At 46.3% G+C, this 18,216-nt stretch overlaps 1 protein-coding gene across 2 annotated transcripts in view; it reads left to right on the forward strand.

Annotated features, from left to right (window-relative positions):
- The window catches only part of HABP2 (hyaluronan binding protein 2), a 38,772-nt gene continuing 35,878 nt past the window's right edge, over positions 15,323–18,216 (forward strand). The window contains exon 1 of one of the 2 annotated variants that reach the window (NM_001177660.3): positions 15,323–15,453. Coding sequence is in view for 1 of the 2 variants with exons in the window: in NM_004132.5 (NP_004123.1) it covers positions 17,614–17,682 (69 nt within the window). In the remaining variant the exon portion in view is untranslated. Of the gene's footprint in view, positions 15,454–17,544; positions 17,683–18,216 lie in introns of those variants that run through there. The other variant, NM_004132.5, reaches the window with a different exon arrangement.

Here is an 18,216-nt window from a genome sequence, read left to right on the forward strand (position 1 = left end):
GGCATTTGGGTTGGTTCCAAGTCTTTGCTATTGTAAACAGTGCTCCAATAAACATACATGTGCATGTGTCTTTATAGTAGAATGATTTATATTCCTTTGAGTATAGAGTCTAATCTTTTGCCATTACTTTCAATGACAAAAACCACAATTACTTTTGCACCAACCTAATAGCTCCTTCCAGTGCAAAGTAAGGCAGCAGAGGAACAGGCAGGAATGGGGAGTGGATCCAGGAACAAGCAGACGTCACATACAGTGTGCGTGCATGTTGATAAAAGATAAACCTCAGCCGAATTAAATTTAAAGGAGTTTAATTGAACAATGAATGAATCGCGAATCGGCAGACCCCAGAATCACAGATTCACAGAAGCTCCGGGGGTGGCTCATAGTCAGAATAAATTTATAGACAAAAAAGGTAAAGTGACATACAGGAATCAGAAGTGAGCTACAAAATAGCAAGATTGGTTACAGCTCAGCGTTTGCCTTATTTGAACGCAGTTTGAACACTCAGCAGTCTATGAGTGGTTGAAGTATGGCTGTTGGGATTGGCCAACACTCAGCTATTGCTAGGGGTGCATATGATTAAGTTAGGTTTTCAATTTTGTCTGACTATTAAACTAGGTTACAGTTCATCCGCAAGGACTCAAATATAGAAGTACGGAGTCCTTCTCAAGCCATATTTAGTTTGCTGTAACAGTGTGCATGTTTCACTTTGTGGGGATGCAGTCTAGGTTGCACGTTCATAGATATAACACATCAAGGCCAGGCATGGTGGCTCACACCTGTAATCCCAGCACTTTGGGAAGCTGAGGCAGGTGGATCATTTGGGGTCAGGAGTTCAAAACCAGCCTGGCCAACACAGTGAAACCCTGTCTCTTCTAAAAGTACAAAAATTAGCCAGGCATCGTGGTGCACACCTATAAACCCAGCTACTCGAGAGGCTGAGGCAGGAGAATTACTTGAGCCCAGGAGGCGGAGTTTGCAGTGAGCACAGATCATGCCACTGCACTCCAGCCTGGGCAACAGAGCGAGACTCTGTCTCAAAAAAAAAGGGAGGGGGAGGGGGGTCTACCCTATATGATCTTCACCAAAACCCTGTAAAGTAGGGAAACTAAGGCTCAGAGCGACTGCTTTATCCTTTATCAGGGGCCACATGAGCCTTTAAGCCCGTTTCCAGAGTGGCAGTCCAGCCAGTTTTACCCAGCACCTGCGCTCCTGACTGACCCCATTTGGCCCTGAAAGTTAGCTCAAGTGAGACTTTTGGTCAAACTGCAGTCTCAGAGTTAAACAATGGGTACTCATGGACATAAAGACAGGATCAATAGACACTGGGAACTGCTAGAAGTGGGAGGGAATGAGAGGAGCAAGGGTTGAAAATGGGGGGATGCAGTCTAGGTTGCATGTTGGGTACTATGCTTGGTACCTGGGTGACGGGATCATTTGTACCCCAAATCTCAGCATCACACAATATACCCGTGTAACAAACCTGCACATGTACACCCGAATCTAAAATAAAAGTTGAAAAAGAAAAATGACACTGTGGTGTTGCCACATTGTGAAGTGGCTGAAGGTGACTATACTCTCAGTAACTCAGATCTGCTCCTTCAGGAGGGCAAACTCTGAGACAAATACCCCAGGGTAGCTGCTCCCACTTGAATTTTTCTTATATATAGGCTTTAGCACTTAGACTTGCTTCCCCAGCGACACTCAGCCTAGTAACATAGAAAAGGTAAAAAGAAGGCCAGGAGTGGTGGCTCACACCGATAATCCCAGTACTTTGGGAGGCTGAGGTGGGCAGATCACTTGAGGTCAGGAGTTCAAGACCAGCCTGGCTAATAAGGTGAAACTCCGCCTCTACTAAAATGACAAGAATTAGCTGGGCGTGGTGGTGAGCACCCAGCTACTTGGGAGGCTGATGCAGGAGAATCACTTTAACACAGGAGGCAGAGGTTGCAGAGAGCTGAGATTGCCCCATTGCACTCCAGCCTGGGCAGCAGAGTGAGACTCCGTCTCAAAAAAAAAAAAAAATCCCAAAAGCAAAAGGTAAAAAGAATTAATTACAATAGATAGAGAGTTGGTAGAGAGTTGGATAGATGATAGCTTTGGGGAAGAAGAATATTTAATTCAGTTCAGATTAAAATGCAGCATAAATTAGTTGCCGACAAGAAATCCAAACTGTTGCCCTCCCTTTCTGTCACCCCTCCCAAAGGCTCCAGGTAAGTCTGGGCAGGGCCAGGAGGGAGGACTGTGGCTGCCTGTCCTGTCCCTGCCCTCCCTCAACCCAGGCAGCAAGCCCCCACCCAGGCCTGTTTTTCCTCAGCACCAAAGTCCAGGGTCTAAGGGGAAGTCGGCAGGTATTTATTAGGACGGTGCAAAAGTAATTGCGGTTTTTGCATTACTTTTAATAAGTAATGCATGCATATGCATGCTTCACTTTGGGGGCATGCAGTCTAGGTTGCATGTTCATAAATACAACACATCAAGAAACAACAGCAAAGCATATTGCATGGTCTACCCCATGTGATGCTCACCAAAACCCTATATGGTAAGGAAACTAAGGGTCAGAGGGACTGCTTTATCCGAGGCCATGCAAGCCTTAAGCATGTTTTGAGAATGGCAGCCCAGTCATCCTTACCTGGCACCTGCACCCCTGACTGTCACCATTTGGCCCCAAAAGTTAAGAGCAAGCATGCCAGAAAGCGTTTTTCTTTTTTCTTTTCCTTTTCTTTGGGGGATGCTTGGGGAGAGGGGTTGGGAAGAGGAAGGATGATCTCATCTCTTATTTTAATAATGAATCACTGGGGCCCTTGCTAGTGGGAAGTCCAGACTCTGCACCCCTCAAGCCTCCCACTCCTGAATTGTGTAATCACCCTGGGGGCTTACCCAGTCCAAAGGGAGAATCAGCCTGGAATCCAGAAACCAGGAAGAGAGAAAGCTGGGAGCAGAAAACACAGGTCAGAAGCTGGCCTGCAGATGTGCTTCAGGTGACAGACACCATGTTGCCCCACACAGGTTAAACATCAATGAATTGTTATCAACTTTTGGGTATCAGGAGCATTTTGAATTTCTGGCTTCTTTTGAAAAGTGAATTGTCAGGCCGGGCACGGTGGCTCATGCCTGTAATCCCAGCACTTTGGGAGGCCAAGGCGGGTGGATCACCTGAGGTCAGGAGTTTGAGACCAGCCTGGCCAACATAGTGAAACCCCATCTCTACTAAAAATACAAAAAATTAGCTCGGCATGGTGGCAGGTGCCTGTAATCCCAGCTACTCAAGAAGGCTGAGGCAAGAGAATTGCTTCAACCCAGGAAGCAGAGGTTGAGGTGAGCCAAGATCACACCATCACACTCCAGCCTGGGCAACAGTGTGAGGCTCTGCCAGAAAAGAAAAGAAAAGAAAAGAAAAGAGAGAAAGAAGGAAGGAAAGAGAAAGAAAGAAAGAAGGAAAGAAAAGAAAGAAAGAAAGAAAGAAAGAAAGAAAGAAAGAGAAAGAAACAAGGAAAGAAAGAAAGATAGAAAGAAAGAAAGAAAAGAAAGAGAGAAAGGAAAGAAGGAAGAGAAAAAGAGAGAAAGAAAGAAAAATGAGCTGTCTGGCCACATGAGGCTCACATTCCTGCAGGGCAAAGATGCTGACACTGGATGGGACTGCCTCCTTACCTCAGGCCTGAGATCCCCAGCTAGCTGTAGTCTCCACCACTCCCTAGTGATCCCCCAACCTTCCAGTTAATTGTCATTTGTCCCAGTTCTCAGGCTGTGTTCCTCTGCCTCCCTCGTTCTACTCATTTCAGATGACCTGCCCTGTAGGCATCTGCATTTGCGGGTCCCAGTCTCATTCACCTACTGTCTTGTTTCTGTCCTTGCCACTTGCCACCAGCTCCCCTGGCACCACACAGAGCCCCAGACCTGCCCTCCCCAAGTTCCCTCCCACTCTGCTTCCTCATGAGACCTCCGTGTGGAGGAGGAGTTTCCTCTCCATTCTTTAAACATGCACTTCCCTCCTACCTCCAAGCCTTTGCTCATGTTGTTACCCTTGCCTGTTTTCCCTATTTCTCCTTTAGCAACTAATTTTAGCCTATTAGTTGTTCTTTATTTCTACCATAACAAATGATCATACTTAGTGGCTTAAGCAACACATATTTGTTCTTTTATAGTTCTGTAAGTCAGACACACGTGTCAGCAGGGCTGTGTCTCTGATCCCTATTTTCTTGCTGGCTGTTGGCTTCTAGAGGCCACCTATGTCCTTGGCTCGTGAACTCCTTTCTCTACCTCCAAAGTCTAGTCTTTCTCATACTTGGAATCTCTCCTTCTTTTCTCTTCTCTTCTCTTCTCTTCTCTTCTCTTCTTCTCTTCTCCAGCTCCATCGTTCCTGCCTGTGATCACCAGCCCTTGAGATGAGCTCGCAGCAAAGATCTGAGTGGGAGCCAGGGGATGAGTCAGACTGGAGCCACAACCCGCAGGAACCAGAGTATTGACAGCCCAGGGAGGCCTCTGTTTCTGCAAGAATCAATTCCCAGGAGCCTATTGACAAATGTGTCCCTTACTTATGTGCTGTCATTGCCTTTTCTATTGACTTAGCCCCGAGGCTAAAGAGGTGAAAGATAAACTGGATCTGTGGGCCCGTCATCTCCTGGCTTCTAAGGCTGCCTCCCCACGCCCCTCCTTCTCCTTCCGTTTTTATTCTTCTAAATGCCCCTCTGAGATCCCTGTTATCACACACACCCCTAAGGTGATATCAACACATCCATTTCATTCAGCAATGATTGAGCACCTACTGTATGCCACATGTGCTGGGCATCCAAAGATGAGAGAACCACAGTCAAGGCCTCAAAGTGTCCTCAGAAGTGACACACCAGGGTCTCAAGACCATAAATTCACAAGATCCCAGAGGAGTCCTCAGAGTAGAGAGCTGACTCTGATTCTAGGGGAAGAAAGCTTCACACAGGGGCCCCTCAAGCTGTGTCTTGTTTTGGTTTTTGTGAGACATGGTTTCACTCTGTTGCCCAGGCTGGACTGCAGTGGCACATTCTCGGCTCACTACAACTTCTGCCTCCTTGGTTCAAGTGATTCTCCTGCCTCAGCCTCCCAAGTAGCTAGGATTACAGGCATGCACCACCACGCCCAGCTAATTTTTATATTTTTAGTAGAGACAGGGTTTCACCATGTTGGCCAGGCTGGTCTCGAACTCCTGACCTCAAGAGATCCACTTGCCTCAGTCTTCCAAAGTGCTGGGATTACAGTTGTGAGCCACAGCGCCATGCCTCAAGCTGTGTTTTTAAAGAGAAAAGAGTAGAGCTCTCCAAGGACCAGAGGTGGAAGAAGACTCTTCTAGAGTGCAAATAAATGAAGGTATCAGACAAGGCTAGAGTTTAGGATATGTATCAGGGGAGCGGAGATGGTGAGGAATAAAGCTGGGTGGAGAGAAGAAGAAGCAAAAGTTGCCAGGAGCCAGATTGGCAGGGCATTCTGTGTCACCCTAATCAGTCTGGACTTAGTCCCATAGGCAATGAGGCATGGAGGATGAGTTTTAGGCAGATAAGTGACACAACCAGATTGGTATTTTAGAAGATGACTCCTCTGGCACCATGAAGACTGGGTTTGAGGGCAGGGCTGAGAAATTGGAGGCTACTGCAAAGGTCCAGGCAGAGATGTTGAGACCCTGAGCCACAGGCAGGGCAGTGAGAGAGTGCTGAGAGGACAGATGCAAGGGATATGTTGTGGGTGCCCAAACAGGTGTCCCGCAGATGTCCTCTGCAGAGATCCCTGCCTGGGGGTGAGCCAGGCCTGAGAGCTGGAAGATTGACATCCTGCAGACTGGGCGGGTTGGAGGAGAAAATGAACTCTGGAGAAAGGGGACTATTCAGGGCAAAATCACCTGTCTCCAGGCCAACTGATAAGCACTGCACAAACTGACTGTGCAAACAATCGCAGGGATGGCTGCTCAACACGAAGCACTGTGACAGCACAGGGATCAATAATCAACATTGAGAAAGAGGGAGATCCGTAGGGGCAAGGAAATAAGAAACGCCTACATTTGGGCCAGGCATTATGTTTAGGAAGCATTCCAGCTCCTTAATTACTACATTGGCAAAAATGGATCAAATGAACTACATTTTACAGTTGAGAAAACTGAGGCTTAGGGGCGTTTCTGATTTGCCCAGGAATGCAAAGCTGATACAGAAGGGAACTGGCACTAAATCCCAGTCCCTGGAGGCCAAGTTTAACTCTGGCTACACTCTCCTGACCTTGCTCTTTGCAAATTCTGGGGCTTCTCAAATGTCATCTGTTCCATGTGATCTAACACTTGACCATTCTCTAATTATGCTACTGGGTAGTAGTGGCTGAACATGGGAGAGCTATGCTATGTGGCAGGAACTGTTCTAAACACTTCAGCTGTTGTGAACTGACCTAAGCCAATTTGCCCATTCAACAGCTGTCAGGCTCTTTTTGGAAATAATAGGGGTCTCTGATAATTAGAGGAAGGTGGGAGCTATACATCTCCCCCTATCAACCTTGCTACCTGGTGGTTTTACAATGAAAGTCGTTCTGCCACATGTACAAAGAGGCAGAAAATCACCCACATGTGGGTCCCAGTAAGTCCCACTCTGCCTCTGCAGCACTCTGACACACATTTTGCAGGAAAGAATCATTTTGCAGTCATAGCTCAACAGCAGGGTCAGCTGGCCTTCTGGTTGGACCAGAAGTCAGAAGAAAGACCAAATGGAGGTCTAGACCTAGAAATTTCCTCTGAAAGTGTCAGGCAGCCAGCTTTGCCAGATTCTTTTATCTTGTACATTCCAGGGCAAAAGTGTCTGTTCAGTCATTTTAGCCAACCTCCTATCTTTTTTTTTTTTTTTTTTTTTGAGATGGAGTCCTGCTCTGTCGCCCAGGCTGGAGAGCAGTGGCACGATCTCGGCTCACTGCAATCTCCGCCTCCCAGTTTCCAGCGATTCTCTTGCCTCAGCCTCCGAAGGAGCTGGGATTGCAGGCACCCGCCACCACACCTGGCTAATTTTCGTATTTTTAGTAGAGATGGGGTTTTGCCATGTTGGCCAGGCTGGTCTTGAACTCCTGACCTGAAGTGATCTGCCCACTTCGGCCTCCCAAAGTGCTGGGATTACAGACATGAGCCACCGCAGCCGGCCTTAACCATCTATCTTGAGTATTGCTCACTTCGTCAATGAAATGCATTTTTTAACATTCTTTATGCTAATGAACTGTACCATGGATGCACATTTAAATAGCAATATTTGAAGCCCCTGCCATGGATACTCCAGAAGGTGGATCGTTTAACAAATGCTCTCAGAGCACTCCCTAGGTGATGGCATGGTTCCAAGCACTTTGAACTTTACACATCCTAACCCATGTCATTGTCACAACAATCCCATAAGGTATGTACAATTTTTATCTTCATGTCACAGGTGAGGAAACTGAGGCATGGAGAAGATGACCATGGCTGAGGTCTGTTCTCCCCTCTCTATCCACAGAGCCAAACTGGATACTGGGAACACAATAAATAAATACCTGTTGGTAATAGGTAATAATCACCAAAATGGAGATTGGTTCCACTGAATGGCCTGAGATTGGACTGTGTGGTAGAGGATGGGTAGCAGCTGAGAGCTAGCCTGTCATGACTGATGGAACCCATTTCACACTTATCATGCTTCCCACGTGCCTACCTCCAATTCTCTTGCATCCTTCATGGGTAGGAGTTGGCCTTGGCCAGGGCCTGGTTGCCTAAGTGTCTGCAGAGTTGCCTATTTGGGCTTTCGCCAACAGAGACAGAAGTATATTATGCATCTTAGGATTCTGTATTACCCAGCACTCAATCAATTCTTCTAAAATGAGTGAATAAATGCATGACTCAGGGAGAGGAACCACACAGCTCTGTGTGTGGTGTTGTTTCCACTTTTGTTTAACTCCTTTTATGAAAATTTGCTCTTTCGATTATCATGCCAATTTGGAGGAAAATACATGGTTCTCATAATAAATTTGAAATAAATCAAGCAATGCAATAGGAAAAGAGAGGAAGATAAATGAATATGGATCCAGAACCTACTGTGTGCCAGGCATTTTCACATATGTCATCTCAAAAATATATCATCAGAAATATATCATCACACGAAACTTATTCAAGACAGGCTCAGAGAGGTTAAGTGACTTGCCTAAGATCACACAGCTAGTAAATGGCTTTTCTGCTGACTCTGTCTGATGCCAACCCAGGCTCTTGCTAGCACACTACAGAGCTAGCATACAAATGTGCTTAGGGAAGGTGGCAATGCCAGGAAGTGTCTAGAAGTACATTTTAGAGAGGTGCTCAGAGGTCTGCCTTCCTCAAAAGTAAAAAGGCTTTTGAAACTATCACAGCATACTCTATTCAGAAAGTCAACAAATCGAGACAGAAAGGGACACCCAAATCTCAAGATCCCTGCTCTCTTTCAGGTTTTCTATTACACAGAAGGGAAGGGGGTAGCTTTCCAACATGCAAAATGCATGCAGAATTTTATGCAAAAATGTTTAATAAATCAATGATGCACTTAGAACAAGAAGCATCACATGGCCCAGGTGCTGTTTGTGAGGCTGGAGATCCAAGGAGGCTGACTTGTGTTTCCACAGAGCTGATTATGGGATGGGAGAGATGCACGAGTGTGATAAACTCTCCTCCATAGACAATCACTGAACAGAGGAAATTTAAAATGTGAGAGGGAAGATTGAAGCCCCACTGAAAGATTAAAGAAAGGAAGGAAGTACAAATGGGCAGATCAATGATTCTGAGGTGTTTAATTCACACTGGGCTGTGCCACATTTGGAGGCTGCAAGTCGTACTGCATCAATGGCTCTTATCTTTCCAAACTTCGTAGATCACAGGAGTCCGAACCACCAATGACTTAAAGCTAGGGATCCTTATGGAAATAGGGAGGCACCTCTGAATTTGGAGTCCATGGCTTGGCCATGAGCTGTAGCCAAGAGAGGGATTTCTGTCTGTCTTCATTCATTTATTTTTCCTAAGAGACAGAGTCTGACTCTGTCACCCAGGCTGGAATGTAGTAACATGATCATAGCTTACTGTAACCTCCAACTCCTGGGCTCAAGCAATCTTCTTGCCTCACCTTGTCCTGCTTGGGACAGCTAGGAGTTTTATAAGCAGCTAGGACTACAGATGTGCACCACCACACTTAGCTAATTTTTAATATTTTGACATAGAGATGGGGTCTGGCTATGTTGCCCAGGCTGGTCTCAAATTCCTGGCCTCAAGCTATCCTCCCGCCTCAGCCTTCCAAAGTGCTGGGCCTACTATCTTTTGATCAAACATGGTTGCCCACTGTTCTTCCCCAATGCTGCCCCTGACTTAGTCCAAGCCCATGCCATCTCCTGCCTCACCTGCTGAGGTAGCCCCCTCCTGGCTCTGTCTGTTTCTGCTTCTGCCTCTTATTAAATCCATCCTCCCATCTAGTTGCATTTATCTTATAAAAACCTCATCAGAGGCCAGGTGCGGTGGCTCATGCCTGTAATCCCAGCACTTTGGGAGGCCAAGGCAGGTGGATCACCTGAGGTCGGGAGTTTGAGACCAGCCTGACCAACATGGGAAGAACCCCATCTCTACTAAAAATACAAAATTAGCCGGGCGTGGTGGCACATGCCTGTAATCGCAGCTACTGATGCTTACTCTGCACCAGGTCCTGAGTGAGGACATAAAAATCGGGCAATGGACATGACTGACATGGTCCCTGGCCTTATGAAGAACAGCACGTGAGTGATGAGGGCACAAAATGAGGCTGGAAAAGTAAACAGAGGTCAGATCAAGCAGGGTCTCCATAAGAAATGGGGATTTTATTCAAAGTGCAAAGGAGGCTGGGCATGGTGGCTCACGCCTGTAATCCCAGCACTTTGGGAGGCTGAGGTTGGGGGATCACCTGAGGTCAAGAGTTTGAGACCAGCCTGGCCAACATGGTGAAACCCTATCTCTACTAAAAATACAAAAATTAGCCAGGTGTGGTGGCACGCACCTGTAGTCCTAGCTTCTCGAGAGGCTGAGGCACAAGAATCGCTTGAATCTGGGAGGCAGAGGTTGCAGTCAGCCGAGATCATGCCGTTGCACTCCAGCCTGGGCAACAAGAGCAAAATTCCATCTCAAAACAAACAAAAAAACAAAGTGCAAAGGAAAGGTCTTGAAGAGATTTTTTTCTTTTTTTTTGAGATGGAGTCTCGCTCTGTCACCCAGGCTGGAGTGCAGTGGCACAATCTCGGCTCACTGCAAGCTCCGCCTCCTGGGTTCATGCCATTCTCCTGCCTCAGCCTCTCAAGTAGCTAGGACTACAGGTGCCCGTCACCATGCCCGGCTAATTTTTTGTATTTTTAGTAGAGATGGGGTTTCACCATGTTAGCCAGGATGGTCTCGATCTCCTGACCTCGTGATCTGCCCGCCTCAGCCTCCAAAAGTGCTGGGATTACAGGTGTAAAGGACTGCGCCTGGCCAGATCTTGAAGAGTTTTAAGCAGGGGTGTGATATAATCTGATGAGGTTTCTTTTTTGTTTTGTTTTTGTTTTTGTTTTTGTTTTGACAGAGTTTTGCTCTTGTTGCCCAGGCTGGAGTGCAGTGGCACAATCCTGGCTCACCGCAACCTCCATCTCCCGTGTTCAAGTGATTCTCCTGCCTCAGCCTCCCTAGTAGCTGGGATTACAGGCATGTGCCACCACGCCCGGCTAATTTTGTATTTTTAGTAGAGACGGAGTTTTTCCATGTTGGTCAGACTGGTCTCAAACTCCCAACCTCAGGCTATCTGCCCGCCTCGGCCTCCCAAAGTGCTGGGATTAAAGGCGTGAGCCACTGCACCTGGCCTCTGATGACGTTTTTATAAGATAAATGCAACTAGATGGGAGGATGGATTTAACAAGAGGCAGAAGCGGAAACAGACAGAGCCAGGAGCAGACTACATCAGCAGGTGAGGCAGGAGATGGCATGGGCTTGGACTAGGTTGGAGGTAACAGAAGTGGAAGGTGCCGGAAGGATTTGAAATGCATTTTGGAGGTAGAAACATGCCAATAATTTGGATTTGGGAAGGGGGAGGAAAAGAAGAGCCCACGATTTCTCAGGTTTCTGACTTGAAAAGCTGTGTGTGTACTAGAGCCCTTGTCTAAGGGAGCAGAGGAAGTGGCTGTTCATTCCTCCTGCTTCCCAGCTGGCACTGCTTGAGCACCGACTGTGTGCTGGACACTCAACACCTGCTTCTGCAAAAAGAAGAGAATCAGTATCGCGGGTTCATCCAGACTCATGCTCAGCCTCATAGACAGGCACGCTTCGTCTGGCCGTGCTGAGGGGCCACATGGAATTCACGATTGTCACTATGTCCTAGGGGCTTCCTTCTCCTGCTTAACCAACTCCAACCTGTGCTCACTACCTCATAAGGTTTTTGTAAAAATGAAAACTGACCTGGAATTGACCATGGGGGGATAAAATGTTATTTTTCCTATAAAATTCACTTACATGATAATGTAAATCATGCCAAATGATCAAATTTTTCTTTTTTCTTTGGCCAACAAGAAGATTAGCTACAAATTTGTAGCTCAGATTAATGACTGTGTAGAGCTGATGGTTTCCACAATAGCATTCTGGTTTTCTCCTTGATATTGATTAATCCAACTACACATCCTTGCCTGTCTGCCCCGTGGATCAGCCTAGCCATGTTTGTGGCCCCAGCCATCTCTGAGGAGACTAAATATAGATTGTGATGTTCACCCAACATCTGGCTGAGCCATTCAGGTTTCCTGATTTGGGTACTTGGGCTAAGGGATGTGGAATGAATTTCCAGCTAATAGTTGGAGTGGGTGCTGTGTGTGCCCACAGGTCCCCTCTTCACAAACGAGGAACCCTTTCTTTCAGCTGCCAGGTGTAAGCTGCAGAGGGCTCTCAGCTGAGGATTACCCTTAACCAAATTATTATTATAATATAATTTGGTTATATAGTATATAGAATAATTTCATCCAGTTATTTTCTGAGGACTGTTCTTAACCAAAGAGAATTGCCCAAAGTCACACCTCTTCCAGGAGGGCAGCTCCTATCCAATGGTAGGACCATCCCAGTACAAAGGTCCAGTCCTCTTGGGTCATCACAGGACAACACTGAGGCCATCCTAGATCCAGAACTTTCTGTGGATGGGCCTCTGTTGCAACTGCATTGCAACCCCTTCTTCTTCTGCCCAGTCCTGCTTTCCTCCCTCCCCCATGTGTACGGAACCCAAGACTACGCCCCTGTCAAACTTTCTGCACACAATCTCAGTGGCTCTATTTCCCAGCAAACCCAACCTAAGATGGTAGTGGCTGCAGTTGCTGGAGGGGCACTGGAAAGGCATCATTTCTTTAATAAACACTGGGCCCATTGCCACAGCTAAAGAGTAATATAGTAAGGAAGAAGAGAAAATGAAAACTGGCCAGGCAATGGGAAGTCTTAGCTTTTCAATATATTGTTTTCTTCAATAAGTGCTCAGGTAGCCCTACTCCAGGCCCTGGAGTCCATGCAGTAGAGTGGCAAAAGCAGTTGGCTTGAAGTCAGAAGACTTCAAATCCTGGCCCTGTTTTAAGCTATGTGCCCTTGGGCAATTTATTATATCTAACCTCTCTGAGCCTCACTTTCTTTAACTGCAAAATGGGCCAAATTACCTTACAGAGTAGTTATAAAGCCTTGTAGGAGCTCAGGATTGGAAAACCACTTGAAACACAGAAGCTCTTCAATACGTATGCTCAAAAATGCATTCCTTTCACAAATGTGGGGGCATCCTAGTGCCTTCCAGGTCAGAGAATGGGACGTGCAGTACCAATGAATTTCCAGTGGATATGAACATACTGAACTGAGCTTGGGGCCTTGCAGCAGAGCTGGGAAGGGCTCATGCCCAGTTAACAAGGCATTTCCATTGCTCCTTCCTCCCAAAAGTGGAAGTTAATGGAACAGGCAGGGGGGCTATGAGACCACAAGAAAAAGCAGGGACTTCCCTGCAGGATGTCTTCTCTGATCAATGAAGATTTTAGGAATTTATCTGAAGACCAGCCACGTGACTGAGCAATTTCATTGTGAAAATGTAACTCCACAAGGCTGGAACCCAACCTGTCTTCTTTACTCCCTAGAGCACTGCTGGGCACATAGTAGGTGCTCAGTAAACACTTGTGGAATGAATGACTGAATGATCTTTAGTTCCTCACCCCGCAAAAAAGTCTGATGATTTCCAGATGTGGTGTGTGTGCATAATTTCTGGGTAAATGCTTTGAGGGCAGCATTGTGGCAACAGCCCAGGGGCCCCTCCCATGTCTCTGTGTGCCTCCATTGTTTTCCAGTATCCCCTCTAGCTGTGCAATGCTTTGGCTGCATCACTTTCTCCCAAAGCGGTGTCTGCAAACCAAGGCCCTCTTTTAGTAAATACAGTTTTATAGGAACATAATCATGTCCATTAGCATAAGTGTCACTTGGGGCTGCTTTTGTGCTACCACTGCAGGATTGAGCAGTTGCAGCAGAAAATTACTCTCTGGCCCTTTCAGAAAGTGTACATTGATCCCATCCTAAAGAGATCAAATTAGACAAGGGTTCATCCCCAGAAGGTGGTCATTCCTTCCCTGGGTTGGAGACTAGACTTACCGAGAACCAGGCCCTTTCATCTCTGAGGGGCTCAGCAAGTCTCATCCCATGGAAAGACTTCACTGATTTCAAAGCCAGGGTGTTGTGCAAAGGTCTGTTCTATGCCCACTGTGGCACTAGGCACCTTACCTTTATGCTCCCATATACACCTCTCAGTAACGCCACGAAGAAAGAGCTACATTATCCCTATTTTATAGATGAGGAAACGGAGGCCCAGAAAGGATAAATGACTGGCCTGAGGTCACACAGTGGGGAGGTGGCAGAGCTGGGGCTCAACCCCAGGTCTGTTCTGAGTCCAAGCTGCTGCTTTTAGGTGCTTCTCTAGGCTGCCTCCCCTTCCTGAAGGCTTAGCAGGAAGAAGCCTCAAGGTACTTGAGGAAAACAAACGTGAAACACGTTTGTTCAGGCCCAACAGGTGATTGCTGCATAAAAACAATCCCTCAGTTGGTCATGGTGGCTCACACCTGCGATCCCAGGGCTTTGGGCGGCTAAGGCAGGAGGATCACTTGACCTCAGGAGTTCAAGACCTGCCTGGGCAACAGAGTGAGACCCCCGTCTCTACAAAAAATTTAAAAATTAACTGGGCATGGTGGCAAGTGTCTGTAGTCCCAACTACTTAGGAGGCTGAGGCAGGAGGATCACTTGAGCCTGGGAGGTTGAGGTTTCAGTGAGCCACAATCGTACCACTGGACTCCAGCCTGGGCAACAGAGTAAGATCCTGTCTCTTAAAACAAAAACAAAAACAAAAACCGATCCCTTGCCTAGAACATCAAAGGGTGGGTGTCTGGCAAGGGCCTTGTGAAGAAGCCTTTCCTTTTGGTAAAGAATCAGCCAACTAGAGAAACCAGACTCCCAAGGCCTCCCATGCAGGGCAGGGACTCCCTCCAGCGGTACGTAACCCAACACGTGAGAAAATGTCACCCAGGGAACAGAGAGACCAGATTAACTTGATAACATCTGAAACCCCCATCTGGATGAGCACTAAAGCCTTTGTGTTTGGATTTAAAAACCAGAGATCCCAGGTAGGTTAGTTCCAGCTCCCCAGCTAAAGACGTATTACGTGATTAGCCAGCCTCTTTTTCCTTCTAAATTAAAAGGATTAAGTATATTTTAGAGAATGTTCTCCTTTAGGACTAACTGTAGAAATTTATTTAATTTCACTTTGTCATGATAACAACACTTTAGGGAAATAAGAGACAATATGTGGAAGGCCTGCAGTTATTACAAAAAGAGCAAAAGTGTTCCCTTTTTGTTTGAAATAAAGAGAAGATTACATGTCAGGGAAATTAATCTCATTACAAAGATGAACAGCAAACTCACCAGGTCACTTCCTGTTGACACAGGAAGAAAAGCTTCTGGCTTGTTTTCTGGGAATCTCTCCACAAAGTCAGAAGGTCAGTAATTCATGCGAGGCAGTGGAGGGGAAAAGAGACGCCTGAGTCACATGAGTGATTTCATGGTTTGACTTGTCTGAACATTTCCGTTTTTGTTTTTTACCGTCTGTACAAACACTGTGAAGACTCCAGCAAAGTCCTCATGTGTGCTGCCTCCTTGGCCCTTGCTCTGGGATCAAGTAACCACCAACAAAATCCTCAGCACTGCACCGATGTCCTGTTTAGCCACCATGTCACCGTGGCCACCATGTCATGGTAACCACCTCCCATCGTCCCGCCCATGAGGATTGCTATTCCATCGCCTTGTTTCACTCTTTTTCATAGAAACCACTAACGAAAATTAACTGTTTACTTTTTCACTGTCTGCCCATCTCCTCCTCAACCAGTTCACATCTGCCTCCTTCATCCCCACATCACCAATGCCTGGCTCACAGCAGAGCTTCTGTAAGTATTTGATGAATATTAATGGAGTGTTCATGAATAAGTTGAAGTGTGCTTAAAATTTCACAAATACTTTTAGTTTTCCACATCCAGTTTTTCCTTTCACATTGAGTTGGCTATGCTATCTAAGGCATCCTGGTGATAACATGTCCAACTGTCACATGGATAAAGTGGTCATTCATTTGTTCATTTCATCCAACATAAACTTATTGAGCGTCTATCCAGTGCTGGGCATCTATGCCAAGGATTCAATGGTGATTGAAACAGAGTGCCTGCTCTCCTGAGTTTTCAGTCTAATGGGGACAATGGGAAACAAATATTAATGAAATAGCAATACGGCTGTGACATTACAACCTCATAAATGCTGTAAAGAAGAAATGCATGCAGGGCTTCTGAGGAAGTAATGTTTGGGCTAAGAGATGAAAGATGCATTAACTAGGAGAGTTAACTAAATTAACTTGCTCAGGAGTGAGCAGGGTTCCAGTTAACAAATTTATGGTTGTCATAAGGATTAGGGGAAGGACAGAGTAGGGCTAGAGAAGAACTTTCTAGGAAAAGGGACTACAGCCAGGCGCAGTGGCTTATGCCTATAATCCTAGCACTTTGGGAGCCTGAGGCGGGTGGATCACCTGAGGTCAGGAGTTTGAGACCAGCCTGGCCAAGATGGCGAAATGCCGTCTCTACTAAAAATACAAAAATTAGCCAGCCATGGTGGCATACACCTGTATTCCCAGCTATTCAGGAGGCTGAGGCAGGAGAATCACTTGAATCCAGGAGGCAGAGGTTGCAGTGAGCCAAGATCACGCCACTGCACTTCAGCCTGGATGACAGAGTGAGACTCTGTCTCAAAATAATAATAATAATAATAATAAAAAGAAAAAGGGACTACTAACATGGGCTTGTATTATGGTGATCAGGTGGATGTTGATGGTATAGGAGGCGGGGTGGGGGGAGTTGATGGCTGCCTAAAATAGGATGGAGACAAAAATATGTGGATAAAAGAAAATAATGTGGAAGTCATTTAGGAGGTAAAATGGCAGGACCAGGACTTGGCTAGTCCTTCAAGGCTCATCTGGTGACTGGGGCATTCTTTTGGGCTGGGATCTGTGGGGCCCTCCCCGGCTAGCAACTTGGCTTTCAGAAGTAGATGCAGCCACTGATGCAGTCCACGTGCCAAACAGGGATGGCAGGTAGGGGCAGGGCTGGGCAGGGGGGCACAGGTGAGCACATGCCTCCGCTGGCAGCAGCATTTCAAAACCTGGATTTATGACTCAAGTCAGGAGGATTCCTGGAACCCAGGCATAGATTTCTGTGGGCAGTCAGTTGTTTACAGGAGATTAAGATCATGCCTATTAAAGAGATCAATTGTGTCCACAAGAACCCACACTTAATAGGTAATTGCTGCTTGACAGAACTCTACCTGCAACCAGCATAGCTAAATAAGGAACATAGGAAACAATTGTCCTGAAATATGAACACCATGTTTTTTTTCCTCCGCTTGATCAAAGAAAGACTCCAGCAAAAGGGGAAAAAATAATTAAAAAGTAAAAGTCTTACCTAATGAGGTTTAAAACAAAACTTTTGAAGCCAACAAGCAACTGTGGGCAACACTTCAAAGGGCCCAGAATCAATGTTTGTCAATAGCAGTTTTGCATCCTTTAATTTATGTCTCATGAATATAAAGTGTGATGTTATTAGGAGCCCATCCATGCCTTAATTCTGTTTGAGATTTGATGAACCAGAAGTCTATTAACATTCTGTACAAATCAGCACTGGCAGAGGCCTGTGGCACAGGCTTCACCTGATCTTTTATCCTGAGGCTGGGATGCTAGTCACGCTGTCAGGCTTCCTGCTCGGAACACCCAGCAGCTGTCATGTGCACCGTGGAGCCAGGGGGCTATGTCAGCTACTTTCTTTGGAGAGTTTCTCCCCAGAAGAGAAACCACTTCATGACTCAGCCCAGCCCCAAAGTTGCCATTTGTTTAATCAAGATAGTTAGTTTGCAAAACATTAAACATTAAACAGTATTTGATGCCTAGTTAATAATTTGCATCCTCTTCATTTGTTCCTGAATCCTTGGAGACTGACATTTTTCCCCCCTAAAGGCATAGACAACAAAAGAAATTTTATTGAGAGGAAAACACAAGTCCTTAAACTGCAAAGATGTTTGCCAGGATGTCTGATCTCCATGTTCTGCTGTTAATGGCTCTGGTGGGAAAGACAGCCTGTGGGGTAAGTGTTCTTTTCTAATATTTGTAGTTGAGAGACTCCGAAGTTTACTAGGAGGACCAAGCTAGGCTGGGAGTGATGAGAAACTTTAGAGTGAAAGGCTGGAGTTGCCAAGTTGGAGATGTTCTAACTACAAGAACCAATGCAGGCCTGTGGCTTGGTTTCTTTTGAGCAGCCACTCCCATGGGAACAGGTGTCTGACTTGAGCCATCTTGGAGCGGAGCCTCCATGAATGCATTCCAGCAAAGGAGACTGGGGCAAGAAAATGTGCCCCAGGGCATGGATTGTAATCTGTCATGGATCTCATAGACCCCTTTGAGAAGCCATGGAAAGCTATAAACTCTCTCCCCAGGAAAATATACCTATCTATTGGTGCTGACACACACAGTTTTCCAGCGATTTGTGGCTGACACTAGGGTAAGAAGCAATGTGCTATGGCCTTAGAGGGGAAGCCTGCTGACTGCAAAAGATCCTGGCAGTGGGTCTGCATAAATAGTTTGGATTTGGGGAGAAGCTTTGTGTTTAGTACTTTGTCTC

The sequence above is a fragment of the Homo sapiens genome, chromosome 10 (assembly GCF_000001405.40).
Source record: "Homo sapiens chromosome 10, GRCh38.p14 Primary Assembly".
Taxonomy (NCBI): Eukaryota; Metazoa; Chordata; class Mammalia; order Primates; family Hominidae; genus Homo; species Homo sapiens.